We start from the raw sequence: 18,472 nt of genomic DNA, 5'->3' as shown, positions 1-18,472 counted from the left end.
AGTAGATTTCAGACAGGAATACTACAGGGTGGTCACAGGATAACAAATTCTAGGCAGCAGATTTACATGACTTGAGGCTGTGGGCTGTTAAGACGCTGAAAAACCAGGGTGTGGACCAAGCTGGCTAAGGCTGAGTGGACCCAATGTGGTGCTGGATTTGACGGAGGTTTTACCTAGGCCCTCATTATATGCTCATTAACATACTAAATCACACACCCGCCAGTGCCATGACAGTTCTGAGACCAATATTTGATGTAAAAATGGATGGCACCACAGTTCCGAGAAATCTCCACCTTTACCCAGGAATTTTCATGAACATTCCACTCCTTGGTTAAAGAAACCCATCAAGATGAAACCCCAGAATCCATTGTTCTCTCTTGGGTATGCCTGAACTCCCCTTTCTTGAGTGTGTACTTTTTGCTTTGCAATAAATCTCTTCTTTCACTATCTGCTGACTCATCTTTGACTTTGTTCTCGCGATGGTGTCAAGAGCCTGGACACCACGGCTGGGGTCGAGATCCCACCAGTGTCCGGGTACCTCCCCCAGCCCACCAGTATCAGATTCTATTCCATTGCTCAAATCACAAAACATCAAGTAGAGAGTTCTCCTTGGAGACCATAAAGATTCTGTGGCATGGTGGCCAGTTAGGCCACTGGAAGGCATGGCAAGATATTGAAAATGAGGGATTAGGTGACAGTGTAGTAACTGCTGAATACTAAATACTTGATCCAGGCCCCATTCCCTGGAGATTGACAGGGAGACACATTGTCCAGGTAGTAGTGGAGAAATGTTTTCTGGGTATCTGACCAGCCTTTGTGGAAAGAACTGGCACCATCCTGCAGATGTAACTACCTGATGGGTTCTTCCTGCCCAATGTACACACAAAATCAATTCATGGAGACCATGGCACTGCAGGAAAGAGTTTCACTGACACAGGCCAGCCACGACATGTGGGAGACAAGAGTTATTACTCAAAGCAATCTCACTGAAGGCTTGGAGGTAAGGGGTTTTTCAAAGATAGTTTGGTGGGGAGGGGGCTAGGGCTTGCGTGGTGCTGATCGTTGGGGATGAAATCACAGGGGCATGGAAAATGGCCCTCCTGCATGGAGTCAGCTTCTGGGTGGGGGCTAAGGGACTGGTTGATTTTCGGGCCAAATGGTGCCATCCAGCAGTCAGAAATGCCAAAGCCTGAAAAGACATCTCAAGAGGCCAATCTTAGGTTCTACAATAGTGATGTTCTTCACAGCAGTAACTGGGGAAGCTGCCAATCTTGTGACTTCTGGAATAATGGCTGGTAATTATTTAAGGAGGCATACATCTTACTAGAAATCAGGCCGCTTTCATCCTTCTAACTTGGTGGCCTTTCATTCATTTTACAGGGGTAATTTAGTTTTGGGGAAGGTTATCATTTAAACCAGATTTTTGGCTGTCCCCAACCTTTTTGTCACCAGGGACTGGTTTCATGGAAGACAATTTTTCCATGGAAGGGGGTGGTGGATGGTTTCCAGATGAAACTGTTCCACCTCAGGTCATCAGGCATCAGTGGCATCAGTTACAGTCTCATAAGGAGTGCGCAATCTGGATCACTCACATGAGCAGTTCCCAATAGGGTCCGAGCTCCGATGAGCAGCTAATGCTCATGCTGATCTGACAAGAGGCAGAGCTCAGGCGGTAATGCTCGAAAGCCTGCAGCTCACCTCCTGCTGTTCAGCTGGGTTCCTAACAGGCCATGGACCAGTACCTGTCTTATGGCCCTGGGGATTGGGGAGCCCTGATTTAAACTATAAACTCAATTTTTCCCAAAGATAGCTTGGGAGAAATTGCACAGGAATGAGCAAAGACAGCAAGCCTGTGAGGCTAGAACCAAGATGGAGTCAGCCATGTCAGCTTTCTCTGATTGTCATAATTTTGCAAAGGTAGTTTCTGAGGGGCTGCACTGGACACGTGTATTTGAGGTTGAGCCCAGAGAACTGGGCTCAACCTCAAATACAGCAGGAGGAGTTGAGGATTATAGCCAATTGGCAAGATAAGAAAGTCAGTGGATGGAAAATTACTAAGAGGAACTTGATTAGCTATCAAAGGTGGTTGCGAGGACTCTTGCTAAACTAGACTCAACAGGATTCTTTCCTAAAGCTGGACTTGGCAGGCCAAGAAGTAACAGAGAAAAGGGCTCAGAGGAAACTACTAAGGTTTGGTCAAAGATTGGAGTCCTTGTCAACTCTACATTGAAGCTTCTGCAAATAAACAAAGACCAACCAAATGAAAAACAGCAAAGGCTATTTACTGTGAGCTTGGTATAGCAGGGAGTCAGTCACTGTTACTTGTGTTTTGGCAGAGACTTGAAGGCAGTCATAAAGGTGGGAAAGCTTTTTAAAAAGAAAGGTTTCAGGGGCCGGGCGTGGTGGCTCACTTTGGGAGGCCCAGGTGGGTGGTCACGAGGTCAGGAGATCAAGACCACCCTAACTAACATGGTGAAACCCCATCTCTACTAAAAAATATACAAACAATTAGTCTGGTGCGGTGGCAGGCACCTGTAGTACCAGCTACTCCAGAGGCTGAGGCAGGAGAATGGCGTGAACCTGGGAGGCGAAGCTTGCAGTGAGCCGAGATAATGCCACTGCACTCCAGCCTGGGTGACAGAGCGAGACTCTGTCTCAAACCAAAAAAAAAAAAAAAAAAAAAAGAAGGTTTCAGGTATGCTTGGATTGGAGGCTGCCAGCATGGTGAAGCTGTAGATAGATGAAGAGAATCAAAATATTTTACCCCAGAATGTATTTCTTTGGCATATTTTAAGATGGCTGTCAGAGAACCAGCAAACAGAAGGAACTCTGCAAAACTGTCTTCTGTAGGGGAAATTTACACCTGCAGAGAATCTGCGTTAATCCAGCCTTACCTTGTCAGGATTGAGAAATGAAAATAAGCCCTAGTCCCTACAGTCAACTGCGGACTCCCTCTTGGCTGACAGGACCACAGAGAAACCTTGAAAGCAGTTTCTGGATGTGGCAGGCTAGGAGGTTGGACATGCCACCTCAAAACCCCCGCTCACTAACTGCCATTATGAGGCAGGAGAACAGCAGAGGGAATTGGAAGTTGGATAAAAGGCAGAACGAGTAAAAGCAGAAACAGAAGCAAGGTGATGGGGTGGGAGAGCAAGAAGCAAGATAAAAGGCAGAAGTTGAGCAGCCAAAACAAAAAGTAAGATTTAAAAAAGCAAGCAAGGCCGGGCACGGTGGCTCATGCCTGTAATCCCAGCACTTTGGGAGGCCAAGGCAGGCAGATCACCTGAGGTCAGGAGTTTCAGACCAGCCTGGCCAACATGGTGAAACCCCATCTCTACTAAAAATACAAAAAATTAGCTGGGCGTGGTGGTGCACTCCTGTACTCCCAGCTACTTGGGAGGCTGAGACAGGTGCATCGCTTGAACCCGGGAGGCGGAGGTTGCAGTGAGCCGAGATTGCATCACTGCACTCCAGACTGTGCAACAGAGCGAGACTCTGTCTCAAAAAAAAAAAAAAAAAAAAAAAAGAAAAGCAAGCAAGGACCCCATGGCCAGCGAGATCCAAACCAGTAAAGGGGCAGCTCCTCAGAGATAGGCATGTGCATGAGAGAAAAAAAGTATCCTTAACATGACTCCGTATGATAATCAGCTCATTAAAACTCATGCATATGGACTGCACATCATGCATGTACTTAAAATTATGGGATGGAGCCAATGTGCAAGCACACAAGGGCCAAAGTAACTAAGCAACCCACCTATCAATCAAAAGGCAAACACTGGCTAACGATTAGGCATCCTTGTGAAGAGAAGAAAAAAAAACACACATAAAACGACCCAAAGTACACCAAACTAATACTTATCTTACATCCCAGAGGTCAGTCCACTCTCCCCACTCTGAGAGTGTTACTATGCTTAATAAACTTTTGCTTTGCTTTGCTGCTTTGTGTGTGTCATGTACAGTTCTTTGTTTGGGACACCAAGAGCCTGGAAATGCATGGCACCATCTGGCAAGAATTAGGATTTTTTTCCTAAGGGTTAACAAACCAAGCCTTTGGAGAGACTTGCTTCACTACTGTTATCAACCAACAGCCTGATGCTTTCCCTCCCTTTTGTGGTTTTGACAAAAAAAGCAAGCAGCATTCCCTCCTGATAAGAGACCACCGACCCAGGAATGATTCTGGCCAGACTACGGAGGATGTACAGTGAGGGTTTTCATGTCCATTGCCTCAGATTTTGACGTCAGAGGGCCACAAACTCCACTCTCAGATGATTGCTAACGCCACCATTTTATGAACATGGGCCCCATGGAGAGGCATGCAGCTCAACTGCACATCTGCACATTTTCATTTTATAAATATTCATATTGGAATATTATTTGGTACTGCTCCCGTGAAAGACACATTTGCAGAATGGACTCAAATTAGAAGCATTATATAAGCACTATAATGTAGCAATGGCGCATCCAGCTCTCTACACTATAGAAATGTCTGCAGTGTAGACATTTCCACAATGACCAAAGATATCTGTACAAGAATGGTGACTGCAGCATTCTTTGTAATCCTAAAACCATGAAACCAACATCATCTCAAAAACATTTTTTTTTTTTTGAGATGGGAGTCTCACTCTGATACCCAGGCTGGAGTGTAGTGGTGCAATCTCAGCTCACTGCAGCCTCCACCTCCCAAGTTCAAACGATTCTCCTGCCTCAGCCTCCTGAGTAGCTGGGATTACAGGTGTGTGCCACCATGCCTGGCTAACAAAAACATTTTGAAAAGGGTTAAATAAATCATGCACAGACTGAGGAAAAATACTGTTTTCAAAAATGATGGAGAGGATCACTATCATGATGAAAGATTCCACTGGTCACATTATTGATAGAGCAATCAGGAAACCCAGGCACATCCTGGAGGTAATACTGGACTCCTATTACTAAAATATGAAAAAATGGAGGCACGTGAATTACTTGTTTAAGCGTATAAGGGACTGAATTAGAATTTTATCACACCAGAAGTGGGTTCCTAGGTCTCTGTTTCAGGATTCCTAAGTTACACAGGTGTAAACCCGGCATTTCAGGAGATAGCCGGTTAAGAATCTGGTCGGGGAGGTGGGCGGCCCTTGACATGGATCAGTCATAAATGAGTGGCTTGGGACTTCGGGAAGATAAAATCTTCCCCATTTACCTAGTGATTGACAATGCATGAATGCTTCAAAAGTTCCAATAAGCGTCCCTGGGTGGGCTCGAACCACCAATCTTTCGGTTAACAGCCGAACGCGCTAACCGATTGCGCCACAGAGACAAGCGCTTCCGCTTCTACTGGTGATATGGGAAGGGCCCACTCACTGAACTAACTCCCTTCCCTCTACTCCCAGAGCCCGCCCGGCAGGACCACCGAGCAAGGCCTTGGAAAACCAGAGAGATTAGAGCGGTGAGTCGCGCCGGTCACGTTGGACGCCTGCGCGTTAGGAGATTCTGGAGCCAGAACAGCGGAATTGCCTTCGCCCGCCCTGCCCCTCGCCTGCTTCAGAAGCTTCCAGGAACTCCCGGGTCGGCGACCCAGCCCGAGCCGCCTGGGGCCCCAAGGGAAGCTGAACGCCCTGTGGGCTCCTGGGATGGTTCTTCCCGTTCTTTGCGCCGCCTTCACCCATTGAAGAGCCTGTGCCCACCCTGCCCAGTCGCTCTCGGGGCCGCGGAGGAGCTTCCGCTGCCATCTTCGGATCCTGTGTTCCGCACGGGGGCTCCACCAGGGCAGGGATGGTGGTGAGGGTCGCTCGTGGGTCCCCTCGGGGGGAGCAGGGTCTGGCACTCACCAGGGCTCACGACTAGGACTTGTCGAATGAATTCATTGTCGCCTTTAGCTTTTAGTCCTTTGAAGAGCCCTGAGAGCGGAAATCAACAGATTTTTTTCCATGGGGAAGTTCTTTTTACAAATCGTTGATTTCTCAGTACCCTGCAGGGCGGGAAACTGGCAGGGCCTCCGGCGCACCTTCTGCGCGGTGGAGCCGCGGGGCTCAGCTGGGCCGTGGTCCGGCCCTGGGGCCGTAGGGCGAGAGCAGGTAAAGGGAAAAGCAAAAGCTGGGAAAGAAGCCCGGGAGCGGTGGACCAGACATCCAGACCTCCTGAAAGGCGCATGCAGAGGCACAGGCGGGATCTTCTGGAAGTGAGAATTGTTTTTGTTTGTTTATTGTAGCAGAATGGGGAAATGGAGAGAGAACCTGAAAGAGCCCCAAACTCGAGGACCTATTGCTCCCCAAGAATAACATCTTCCAGAAGAACTAGACAGAAAACTAGGCGTCTGGGAACTCTGAAATCCTTGGAGGAGTAGCATCATCATGACCCTCTGTGTTCCTTTTGGCAAAGGACTTGCTCCCATTGTTTGCTTGTTCCATTGTCTGTCTGTTAAATAAATAAAACCCTTTTCATATATCTTTAAACTTACGTTGGTTTTATCATTTTATGATTACAAGTAATGCTGCAGTCATCATTCTTGTACACTCTCATTGGCCACTGGTGTATTTCTATAGGGTGGAGGCCTGGAGAGTAGTTGTTCCAGCATAGTGTTTACATAGCTTTTATTTCATTCCGTTTTCTTTCCTTTGTTGCTTTATTAGCTATAACCCTTTTCTTATTTAAGAGGCTGCTTTAGGGTTTCCGGGATACATCTTTAATTTATCATAGTCTGCTTTCTAGTGTCATTATGCCTCCCTTTCTGGCCTTTATCCTAGTGTTATGTAGTTTTACTTTATGCACTATAAGCTTTGTGATTCATTATTACTTTTATTTATTACGTCAAATATTTTTTGAAAGATTTAAATTATAAGAAAACGTGTAGTACATGTTTTCTAAATGCCATTTCCAATATTCGTTTCTTTGTGTAGGCCCGCATTTTTATCTGGTATCCTTTTGCTTCTGCCTGGAGGACTCTTAAGATTTCTTGCAGCATGGGTTGGTGAATTCTTTTAGCTTTTGTATTTTTTCAATGTCCTTATTTCACTCACAGTTATGAAATTTTATTTTTGCATAGAATTCTAGATTAACTTTTTTTCTCTAGGTACTTTAAAAATGTTGCCATTTATGAAGCATTGTCATTTAAAATATCATCTTTCTTTCCTATGTTTGTAAATATGGCGTAAAGCCGGTTTCTTGTGCTGGTTATACAATTTTCAGAATGTGTATTTAAATTTAAAATATTAAATTGTACTAAAAAACTAAAAATATTAATCATGAATGTCCTAGATTCATCTTAAGTTCCAACAGTACACTTAAAGTGTGCCCAACCTGAGGGTCAAATCTACTTGCTGACATGGAATTTGTGTTTGTGAGAGCCTAGTGATTTTCCTTACATCTGAATGTCTTCATTGCAAAAGGAAACGTTTTTCTTTGCCAAAATACTTTAAAATATTCTTACTTCAATTAAGTGCATTAAAAACAAATTTCTCAGTTGCATCCCTGAAATCCATCAAAAGCCCGGGAGAGACAATCAAGTGCTTCAGGATCAAGAGCTAAACAGGGGAGGACAAAGCGGGGCTCCTTCACTAGGAGTCAAGCCAAAGTCAACTGATTTGGTCTCCAATGGAGAACAGAACTTGGTTCACCAGCGACGTGAGGACGCGGCCCAGAGGAGGCGGACTTTCTCTTCATGGTGCCTTCAGATAGGAAATCTAGGATTTTCTTTCTTTCCCTTTGATCTACTTCCAACTCTCCCTTTCTATTTCTTCAAGAACTTTTTCGGATCCCTAGCTGGGAAGGACCTAAGGGGCCAGTGCCCTTCCCTACTGGTCCCTCCTTGACTGGGTGTCTTCGGAGCCCAAGCTCACCCTGAACATTACTGCCCGCTTCAGACAGTGAGAGGACCAAGGAGGGCGGTGGGTGCGGTGGGAACCACAGAGTCACCGCGCACCTGCATCCGTGAGCTCCTAGCAAATTGAATAAATGCCCCCTGAAGCTTCTCTGCAGGTCAGAGGGAAGGGGAGGGTGGCTGCTGACCCGGCAGGAGAAGCTTCAAGAAGCATCGGGAGGACCTGGCCCTGCCCCTGGGCCTTGAAGACAGGCCTGGCCAGACTGATTTTGATGGGGAGGCCCAAAGAAAAGGTTCGAGGGCGGCCCAAACCCCTACCCCGAGATTAAGGCTCTTAAGTGTCTGACGGTTTTGAGAATCGTCAGTAGAATCTATCCTGCCTGTATCAGGAGACTCCTTTGCCAAAATTCAGAGACCAAGAAAGAGAAAGATTGGGCAGATCAAAATCTGTAATTAACCAAACAGGAAACATAAGTTTTCTGACAAATTGGATGTGTGCTGTGAGAAAAAGACTAGCCTCAAGGAGAACCTGGTTTTTTGGCTTGAGTATAGGGAAGAATGGAGTTGCCACCAACAATGTTGCATTGAAACGGCCGATGCATCAGGCTGTAGATGTGAAGGAATTAAAAATATTTGACCCCAAACTACATTTCTTTGACATATTTTGAGATGTCTGTTCAGAAAGCCAGCTGCAGAAGTAGCCCTGCAAAGTTGTCTTTTGTTGGGGAGATTTGCATCTGTAGGGAATCTGCATTGATACAGCCAAGTCTTTCCTTGCCCAGATCTAGGAAAGATTAACTGAGAGTCTGACACATGTAAAGGTCTGAAAGAAATTTTTAGGGTTTATTCTCTCTGAGAGCTGCTAACTGTAGGGTTTCATTTACATATTAAGACCACCTTTGCTAGCCAAGCCTCCTCTTCTCTCCCTACCATCACTTATCTTGTCCACAATAATTGGATATACCTCTGACTCTGATTGCACCTGGTTTTGGCCATGCTTTGAGCCCTCATTCATTCTGTTACCTCAAGATGGTATATAAGCTTCTGCATCCCATTGTGGGTAGGGGAGGGTAATCACTCTGTGACTCTCCCCATGCACATGTTAGTACATTTTATGCCTTTTTTCCAATTAATCTGCCTTTTGCGACTTGATTTTTGAGTGAAACTTCAGAGGGTTAAGAGGGAGGGTTTCCATTGGCCCCTACAGTTTTGGAGCTGTAAGCAGGATAGGAAAGCTCTGCTCTTCTGGAAGCTGCAGTGAAGAACCCAGGATCTGATCAGCTGTCATAAGGGTAAGAATTTTTTTACCAGCCAGGCTCCTGGCCTCCTTCTCTGTGTGGAATCTCATCAAGTGGACAGTAAAAATCACTGTTTCTTTCTTTTCCCTCTCCAAAATCTTGATTAATTGGAGAAAAGGATTTGTGTGACTAGTCTTGGGTGTAGTGACTCTGGTGTGCTTTTTGGTACTTTGTGGTACCAATTCCTATTGTTTAATCCCTTTGTTCCCAGAAATTGTCTGTTCCTTTGTCTTTGTCTCTATGTGTTATTCTGTCATAAAAGGGGGTACCGGTTGAGGTTCCTTCTCATCTTATTTTATGTCCTTGAGAGCTTGACTTGTGAGCAAGTGGGAGCGCTTTCTCTTGGTTTCCACTATCTGGAAAGAGGCAGTAACTATCAGGTCATACTAGGTGGCCTGTCTGAAAATGGCTGGGAACCCCAGCACACTTTTTGTTCTGACCATGTCAAGCTCTTGGGGTTTGTCTTAAGAAGTCCCATCCCTTTGAGGCTTTTGTCATCTCAATTCTTGTTGCCTGGTTAGTCCTAGGAAAGCTCAATCCCAAGAGGGCCTACCTGGTATTATAGATTCAGAGGTCTGTGACTGGAAGCCCCCATAAATATCTGGGTTACTGGAGGCCAACATCATCCTTACCCATCTGTGGTCTACTCCTTGCATTGAACTTTTTTCTTGCAGGGGAATCTTTGGGATTGCTTCTTCTTTGCCCTTCCCAGGAGGTTAACCTGGAAAATGACATCCTGGGCTTTCCACAAAGGGGCTATTTGGTTGAATTGCTATTGCAATAATTACACCATTGGAAATTCTACTTGCCAATGGCCTGAAGATGGATCCCTTAAATTAGACACCTGAATTAAAAAAAAAAAAGATTTTAGAGATCTCTTATTTTAACAGTTCATAGGAAGATCAAATTAAAACAAACACACATAATAGTGTCATGGCTACCCTTAAAAATTCTCTTGACAATATTATGTGTGTTGTGTAGGGAAAAAAAATTCTCTTAACTAAATTAAAGAGCAAAATTTGACCCGAAACAAAGTTAAAATTCTTCATAAGCTCAAACTGCCTGCTCTGGATCCCTTCCAGGATGCACAATAAAGTCTGCTCTACCTTGCAGTTCAGTGCTTAAAGTTCTGTGTTTTGCTGCCATAGCCTGGGGTCGATTTCCAGTCAGGAAACCAGTTTATTTTGGCTTGATATTTGTGTGACTTTTGACTTTTTGGAATACCCATTTATTGATCCTTTTCCCTTTCACGGGCAGCTTTTGTTTGTTTGTTTGTTTATTAATACAGAGTCTCACCCTATCACCCAGGCTGGAGTGCAGTGGCGAGATCTTGGCTTACTGCAACCTCCGCCTCCCAGGTTCAAGTGATTCTCCCACCTTGGTCTCTCAAGTCGCTGGGATTACAGTCACCCACCACCACGCCTGGCTAATTTTTGTATTTTTAATAGAGACAGGGTTTTGTCATGTTGGCCAGGCTGGTCTTGAGCTCCTGACCTCAAGTGATCTGCCTGCCTCAGCCACCCAAAGTGTTGGGATTATAGATATGAGCCACCCCTCCTGGTTGTTGGCAGCTTTTGATTTCCTGTCCTTCCAGCTTCCAAAGTTTCTGATGAGAAATCTGTTGATAATCTTATTAAAGATTTCTTGCATGTGACCAGTTGCTTTTCTCTTACCAATTTAAAGATTCTCTTTGACTTTTGAAAGTTTGATTATAATGCGTTTTGGTGTAGGTCTCTTTAGGTTTATCTTACTTGGAGTTTGTTAGGCTACTGTGTTTGTATTCATGTCTTTCATCAAATTTGGGAAGTTTTCAGCCATGATTTCTTCAAATATTCTCTATTGCCCTTCTCTCCCTCTTCTTTAGAAATTCCACAATGCAAGGCTGGGAGCAGTAGCTCATGCCTGTAATCCCAGCATTTTGGGAGGCCGAGGCGGGAGGATCACCTGAGGTCAGGAGTTTGAGACCAGCGTGACCAACATGGAGAAATGCCGTCTCTACTAAAAATACAAAATTAGCCAGGCATGGTGGTGCATGCCTGCAATCTCAGCCTCTTGGGAGGCTGAGGTGGGAGAATTGCTTGAAACCAGGAGGCAGAGGTTGCGGTGAGCTGAGATAGCGCCATTGCATTCCAGTCTGGGCAGCAAAAATGAAACTCCTTCCCCCCTCCCACCCCCCAAAACAACAACAACAAAAAAGAACTTCCACAATGTACATGGTGGTCCACTTGATGGTCACTTAGGCTCTGTTCACTTTTCTTCAATCTTTTTTTATTTCTGTTCCTCAAACTGGATGATTTCCATTGCCTTATCTTCAGGTTCACTGATTGTTTCTTCTGCCTGCTCAGCTTTCTTCAAATTTGACTTTGAATCCATCTAGTTAATTTTTTACCAAAGCAGCAACTATTTCGGAAAAGCCTCCTTCATATTGCAGCCATTGGACATGATAATACATGGGATATGCTGCCATTTGTTGAGAATCATGTGAAAATTAAGCTTCTGCCCCATCACACTAAAGTTCCAGCCCTGAGTCCCCACGGTTTTCTCCCTAGGCTAAGATAGAAAGGAAGAACATGAAATGTGCAGAAAGCATTCTCTTAAGCAAACATGTATAACTTGCCTAAATTGTAATTATTTCCCGGAACAGGATGCACCTCTAACCTCTACAGGCAGATCATAGATTCCATTGTCCAGCTGTATAATGAATTCTTCTTCTCAGAGAAGAATACCAGACACTCTCCCTGGCTTGCCTGAATCAAATTTCCAGAAGTAATCGGTGAAAGGCCACAATATGAAGTCTCTCTCAGATGAGTTCCTTCTCTTGTCACATCCCACAGTAGAAACAAAAGAGGACGGGGAGGCCAGAGCTGCTCAAAGCCTTATAACCCACAATTCTCATAGTTATTCTCAACTTAGAGAGGGCTGCTTTCTAGATGCTCCCCCTCCAGGCCTGCAGACTGCCAGGCTCCAGGAATAAGTAGCTCTGAGAAGTCTACTATTTAGCTGCGAGCCACACTCCCCTATTGCAAATTGGAGAAAGGAAGGACAAACTTAAAAGGTGAAAAGATTTAAGAGAACAACATGGTGAAACCCCATCTCTACTAAAAATACAAAAATTAGCCGGGCGTGATGGCATGCGCCTATAGGCCCAGCTACTCGGGAGGCCGAGGCAGGAGAGTCATTTGAACCCAGGAGGCGGAGGTTGCAGTGAGCCAAGATTGTGCCACTGCACACTAGCCTGGGTGACAGAGCAAGACTCCATCTCCAAAAAAAGAAAAAAGAAAGAAAGAAAGAAAGAAAGATTTAAGAGAACAATTATTTTAACTGAATACATTTTGTCAAGATTAAATCAACTTTCCCCTAGAGTACTGAAAGAATAAGCAATCATAATTTAGATTCTAAGTTACTGGTCTTTGAGAAAGTGTGAAAACCAAAAAGGTGCCACAAGCCAAAAAAGGAGCAAAAGTCCTAATTTTCAAACTGATGAAAATAAAGTACTAAAAAATGGAAATCATCATAGTTCATCTTGATCCTTGGCAAAATACAAATGTATCGATTCAAATTATAATATCTTAGCTACCCTATTGTGCGTAGCTCTTACCAATGAGGAGAAAAACCAAACCCAAACAAAAGTGTGTTCAAGTTGGCAAAAATGTTTACAAGCCTGCAAAATCTCTTCAGCCTATCCCTTAAACTCCAGACTTGGTATTTATTAAGTTCTGCTCTGTACAATACCCACCTTAATATCCATTCTTGCACAAGTTCTGTTAGGTATAAGCCAAGATGACATGAGATTTTTTTTTTTTTTTTTTTTTTTTTTTTTACCCTCTCATGCCTATGTTTGCTTTTGCTTCCAAAGACCCTTCTGAGTAAGGACTATCCTCAGACTACTGGAGTCATTTAGTCACAAGCTTGCCTGAGGCTCAGAGCTGGCAATACCTGGGAGTTTACGTCAATCCCACAGCACCCAGCAACCCTGCCTGCAAAATATTTACCATGATTGACAGGTGCAGGTGTATGAAAGCCCAGCTCCTTGACTTGAGGGGCACCTTTGTGGTGAATTAGGTTTGGGAAAAGGGAATCCAGAGGCCAACTTTGTAAAAATGCAGATAGATAAATAGAAAGAAATCTTTGCCTTGGAAGTCCAGTTGAGAAAGAGAGTGATTTACTTGAGACTCTGAAAACAGAGACTAAAATCTTTACTTTCTCATGGGAAAGAAGCCTATGGTGAAAGAGAAACAAAGAGAAAGGTAGGAAATAGGGTGGGTCTACTCCGTAGCTTTAAACCACTCTGTCATATTATAAAGCCTGGTGAGGTTTTAACTAACACAAGTGCCTGGACTCTACACATAGAGATTCTGATTTAAATGCTTCCAGGTGGGTGGAAGCCACTAGTAGTCTTAAAAAGCTCCCAAGTAATTTTACCATGTGGCTAGAGATGAAAAGGACAATCTGTCTACTAGAATCTCAAGTAACCAGTATTGAAGTGCCCCAAATGTGCAGCTACCTCATAGAAAAGGCTTAACAGCACCCATTGATGGAATTTGCCTTCCTCTCTCCGTGGTCTTGTCTGCATAGCGTGGAAATAGAGAAGAGATAAAGAGGTAGATGGAGAGATTGGACCTGTAATTTGCCTATGTAGAGTAGTTTCTCAAACTTTTCTGACCACAAGACGCAGTGAGAAATATACAATTCTTTGTGATCAGTTTTTTTTTTTCTTTTTTTGAGATGGAGTCTTGCTCTGTTGCCCAGGTTGGAGTGCATTGGCGTGACCTTGGCTTACTGCAAGCTCCGCCCTCCCGGGTTTACACCATTCTCCTGCCTTAGCGTCCTGAGTAGCTGGGACTACAGGCACCCACCACCATGCCCAGCTAATTTTTTTTTTTTTTATTTTTAGTAGAGACGGGGTTTCACCGTGTTAGCCAGGATGGTCTCAATCTCCTGACCGCGTGATCCACCTGCCTCAGCCTCCCAAAGTGCTGGGATTACAGGCATGAGCCACCGCGCCTGTCCTGTGATCAGTTTTTAAAAAATCTTTTACTATGTGTAATCCACCCTACCTAGAATTTAAATAAAGCCTGTAGTAATAAGCAGTCCACTATATTGATTTCACAACCCCTAAGTGGTTCAGAATTGCAATTAGAAAATTTTTACTTTTGGCCGGGTGTGGTGGCTGGAGCCTGTAATCCCAGCACTTTGGGAGGATCACTTGAGGTTGGGAGTTTGAGACCAGCCTGACCAACATGGAGGAACCCTGTCTCTACTAAAAAAAAAAAAAAAAAAAAAAAAAATTAGCTGGGCGTGGTGGTGCATGCCTGTAATCACACCTACTTGGGAGGCTGAGGCAGGAGAATTGCTTGAACCCCAGGGGGTGGAGGTTGTGGTGAGCTGAGGTTGCACCATTGCACTCCAGCCTGGGAAACAAGAGTGAAACTGTCTAAACAAAAAAAAAAAAAAAAAAGAAAAGAAAAGAAATAAATTTTTACTTTTGCTCAGCCTTTTTATCAAGCAAAATCCCAAAAGAACATTTACTATAAACATCTTTCTGTGAATCCTTATTTCTGTCCCAGCCACCATGACCCAATAATCTCTAGAGCCTGTTAGTGTTCTCCAGATTGAAGCCTTCCCTCTAACTGCTCCTAAACTCTGTGATGTAGTGGAAAAGGTTTGAGGACTTGATTCCCATCCCAGATTTTTCACCTACAGATCATACGGCCTTAACCTCTTGACACCATTGTCTCCTTATGGCCAAAGATGGAACTGTACTTGGGTGGTATCTGAGCACCCTGTTGGCTTTGACATTCTAGGGCTCTTCCCTTGTCACCACTCTCTTATTTAAAAGGAATAGGATGTGGACTTAGGAGGGTTATTTCTCTGCAAACTATCCTCTCTTTCTTACGACAAGCTATTCCTGAATGTGCATATTTGAGGCTAAGCAAATCCCTTCCTGGGAGGTTGAAAGACCCTTATTTCTCTCCAGAGGAGTATTATGGAGAGTCAATTGATGCTGAGGAGGTGGTAGAGACCTAGCGAACTCAACTGCAGTGGCTTTGAGCAAGGCTCTTAGAATCATAAGGTGGGTGGGGTCCTGTGTCCTACACCACACGCCAGCTGGTTCACTTCAGGAGACTTTTTTTTAATCTATTATTACTATCTTCTTCTAGACTGTAGTTCACTACTGGAGATTATCCACTTAGTTGCACTCAGTTTGCACCTGGCCTGTATCACCAGTCAGCTCTCACTCCAGCCTCAGGTATCAGCAAGACCTCACCAAAGATTATTGTTTAATTGTATGTGTGTGTGTTTTTGTTTGTTTCGGGTAACAACTAATGTTGGAACTATGAAAAACTCTTCTCTACTTTTAACAAAGCTTAGTCACAAACAGTTCCCCAGTTGATGAGAAAAACTAAAACAACAGAACAATTGAAAGTCTGAATCTGCAAGTTCATCTCTGAGAACCGAATTTTACAGCCACTCCAGATTTGTACTCCAAATGGATAGTTTGACTGTAGAAATCACATCCCTTCAGTCTGCCAATGTGATAACTGCCCAAGAGAGAGTGATGCCTACATTCATAGATAATCCCCTTTCCCCCATCCTATATATAACTGGAGTCAACAGCAGCTGGAGGAAAATGGCAAGAACTTGGAATCAAGATTAGCTTAGAATAACACTGCTGTAGACGGTTTATCAGCTCTTCAGCATATGTCCGTTTTCCTTGAAGGATGAGCCTTTAGAAACCTCTGACAATAAAGTTTATTTTACACCCATTCCCTTGCCTATGATTTTTTTCATACAAATCACAATTATTAAACTTTCTTGCTCCAGCTAAAAGCAGGAAACTCAATCAGAATGTGTTCACTAAATATATACCACAGAATGATAACAACCAGTCTGAATGCATCACTTGATTCCAAAATTAAATGTTAGCCCTCAGGGGTGCAACTACATGTATCTCCAACTCTGGAAGCCACAGGCAACATATTCCTGTTTCCTTGCAGGGAAACAGATCTATAAGCAGGGCGGCAGTCTGACACATGTACATTCCTGGGAAACCCAAGGAAACAATGATAGTGACGCAGGGCAGGCAAGCCCCCAAACTGAAAGAGTTTTGCTAATGTCGCGATTGGCTTTCTATGTTATTTGAAGACTGAGATCTCCATGAGGAGTGAAGATAGGTAATGCCTAAGGCTGAGGCATGACCTCACTGGGTCACCTTAGCTGTGAAGTGAGGTCAGTTGTCACCTTGCAAACCTTTTGGTAATCCAAATCTTGGAATGATTTCTTTAAGAATTTAGACACTTCCAGTACTTTTCCTGTCCTTGTGGGGAAAGCTTCTATCCACCTGGTGAAAGTGTCTATAAATACTAGCAAATCTTGTACTCCCCTGTAAGGTGGCATCTGGGTTAAGTCTGTCTGCCAGTCTTCACCATGGTATGTTCCTTGGTGTTGTACAGGTTTAAGCAGGGATCGGGGTATGGGGTGGCTTCCTGAGTGGTAACCCTTTTTATAGTTTGGAACAGTCCCTTCCGCAAGAATATTTAGGAAACTAATTTAAATGGAAAATCCTGTCCCAAATGTGAGGAATCATGAAAATGTTTAATTATTTCCCATTTGTCAGCCTCAGGAATAGAGTTTGTTCTTTTCTAGCAACCATCCAGAGGGGTCTCCCTGGAAGCCTTTTACTCAGTCCCTTTAATTTCCTTAGGGGTATAGTATGGTGTCACTGACACGGATGCAGTACCTGGTAGTAGCGCAGCAGCCTGAAATACCAGGGTTTCCTTAGCTGTGGCCTTAGCTGCTCTTTCCACCAGGGAATTTCCTCTAATAATAAAAGTGTCTCCCTTCTGGTGTCCCCTGCAGTGAGTAATTGTTATTTCTTTGGGAGTTGGACAGCATCTAAAAGTTCCAAGATCTGAGTAAAGTTGTGTGGGGGATCCCTTGGCTCTTGATAGTCCCCTTTCCTTCCCTATGGCTGCATGAGCATGGAGCACCAGGAACCCATATTTAGAGTCAGTCAACACATTGACTCTTGAGGTTTTGGTTTTCTTCTTCTTTTTTTGAAACGGAGTCTTGCTGTGTCGCCCAGGCTGGAGTGCAGTGGCATGATCTCAGCTCACTGCAATCTCAGCTCACTGCAAACTCAGGGATTCTCATGCCCCAGCCTCCCAAGTAGCTGGGATTACAGGCGCACCCCACCACACCCGGCTAATTTTTGTATTTTTAGTAGAGACGGGGTTTCGCCATGTTGGCTAGGCCGGTCTCGAACTCCCAACCTCAGGTGATCCACCCACCTTGGCCTCCCAAAGTGCTGGGATTACAGGCGTGAGCCACCGTGTCCAGCTTAAGTCTTTTCATGGTTGGAAGGCCCTAATTAGAGCAGCTAATTCTGCTTTTTGAACAGAAGTCTGAGAAGGTAAACCCTTGGCCTCAATGACTTCTTGTTGGCTAAGCTTCCTTTCTTACTCCCTCATGAATATAGCTATTTCCATCTCTAAACCACTCAACATTTGGGTTAGACAACAGCTTGTCTTCAAGGTTGGGCCTTCTAGAGTAGAGCTCTTCCGTGGTTTCCACACAGGAGTCAATGAGTTTGGGATCTGTTTCTTGAGATGTGAGGTGCAGCAACAGAGTAGCAGGGTTTCAAAATCAGGATACTTTCAGGGTAACATCTGGGGTGTCAAGCAGAAGGGTCTGATATTTAAGTAACTGGCTCCCTGTTAGCCATTGGTGTACTTTTGCCTCTAGGACCCTCTGTACTGTACTTCATGGGGTGGCAGGGGGTGGGGGTGGGGTGGTATGGCATGTAATTTTTGTCCCAAGGTAAACTTACTGGTTTCTTCTAACAATAAAGTGATGGTAGCCACAGATCTCAAGCTTCCTAGTCACCTAGCTGCCACCTGGTCTAGCTGTTTAGAGAAATAAGCCACTGGTCCAAAGCAATTCCTCAGCCTTTGAATTAGAACATTTGAAGCTGTCCCTTGTTATTCATCCACATAGAGGGTGAAAGGTTTTTCTAAGTTCGAGAGTCCTGAGGCAAGGGATGTCCCTGGCTTTTCTTTTAAGGCTAAGAATGCCTTTTGACAGGTTCCAAGCTCCGCCTCCTGGGTTCACACCATTCTCCCGCCTCAGCCTCCTGAGTAGCTGGGACTACAGGCGCCCGCCACCACAGCCAGCTAATTTTTTTGTATTTTTAGTAGAGACGGGGTTTCACCGTGTTAGCCAGGATGGTCTCGATCTCCTGACCTCCTGATCTACCACCTCGGCCTCGCAAAGTGCTGGCATTACAGGCGTGAGCCACCGCACCCGGCCAACAAGTTTTTTTTTAAATGAACAGAGCATCAGTGAATGACAGTGCAAGTTTAAGACACCTAATAGACAA

The 18,472-nt window shown here is 44.5% G+C and overlaps 1 long non-coding RNA gene, 1 other non-coding gene and 1 pseudogene across 5 annotated transcripts; 1 reads left to right on the top strand and 2 right to left on the bottom strand.

Moving 5' to 3' along the window:
- Positions 1 to 5,222: 5,222 nt before the first annotated feature.
- On the bottom strand, positions 5,223 to 5,296 carry TRN-GTT4-1 (tRNA-Asn (anticodon GTT) 4-1). The gene has a single exon. It is a non-coding gene; the product is annotated as a tRNA-Asn (tRNA).
- A 10-nt stretch (positions 5,297 to 5,306) lies between these two features.
- LOC105376805 (uncharacterized) lies at positions 5,307 to 6,435 on the top strand. Of its 4 annotated transcripts, none has more exons than NR_135059.1 (2): positions 5,307 to 5,425; positions 6,191 to 6,435. It is a non-coding gene; the product is annotated as an uncharacterized LOC105376805 (long non-coding RNA). The 4 variants fall into 4 exon arrangements; NR_135058.1 differs by having other exon boundaries at positions 6,188 to 6,435; NR_135057.1 differs by lacking the exon at positions 5,307 to 5,425 and adding an exon at positions 5,495 to 5,757.
- On the bottom strand, positions 5,360 to 7,638 carry LOC107985101 (uncharacterized; annotated as a pseudogene).
- Positions 7,639 to 18,472: the final 10,834 nt, after the last annotated feature.

The sequence above is a fragment of the Homo sapiens genome, chromosome 1, assembly GCF_000001405.40.
Source record: "Homo sapiens chromosome 1, GRCh38.p14 Primary Assembly".
Classification (NCBI taxonomy): Eukaryota; Metazoa; Chordata; class Mammalia; order Primates; family Hominidae; genus Homo; species Homo sapiens.
The sequence above is the reverse complement of the archived record's forward strand: the minus strand, read 5'-3'. Positions and strand labels throughout refer to the sequence as shown.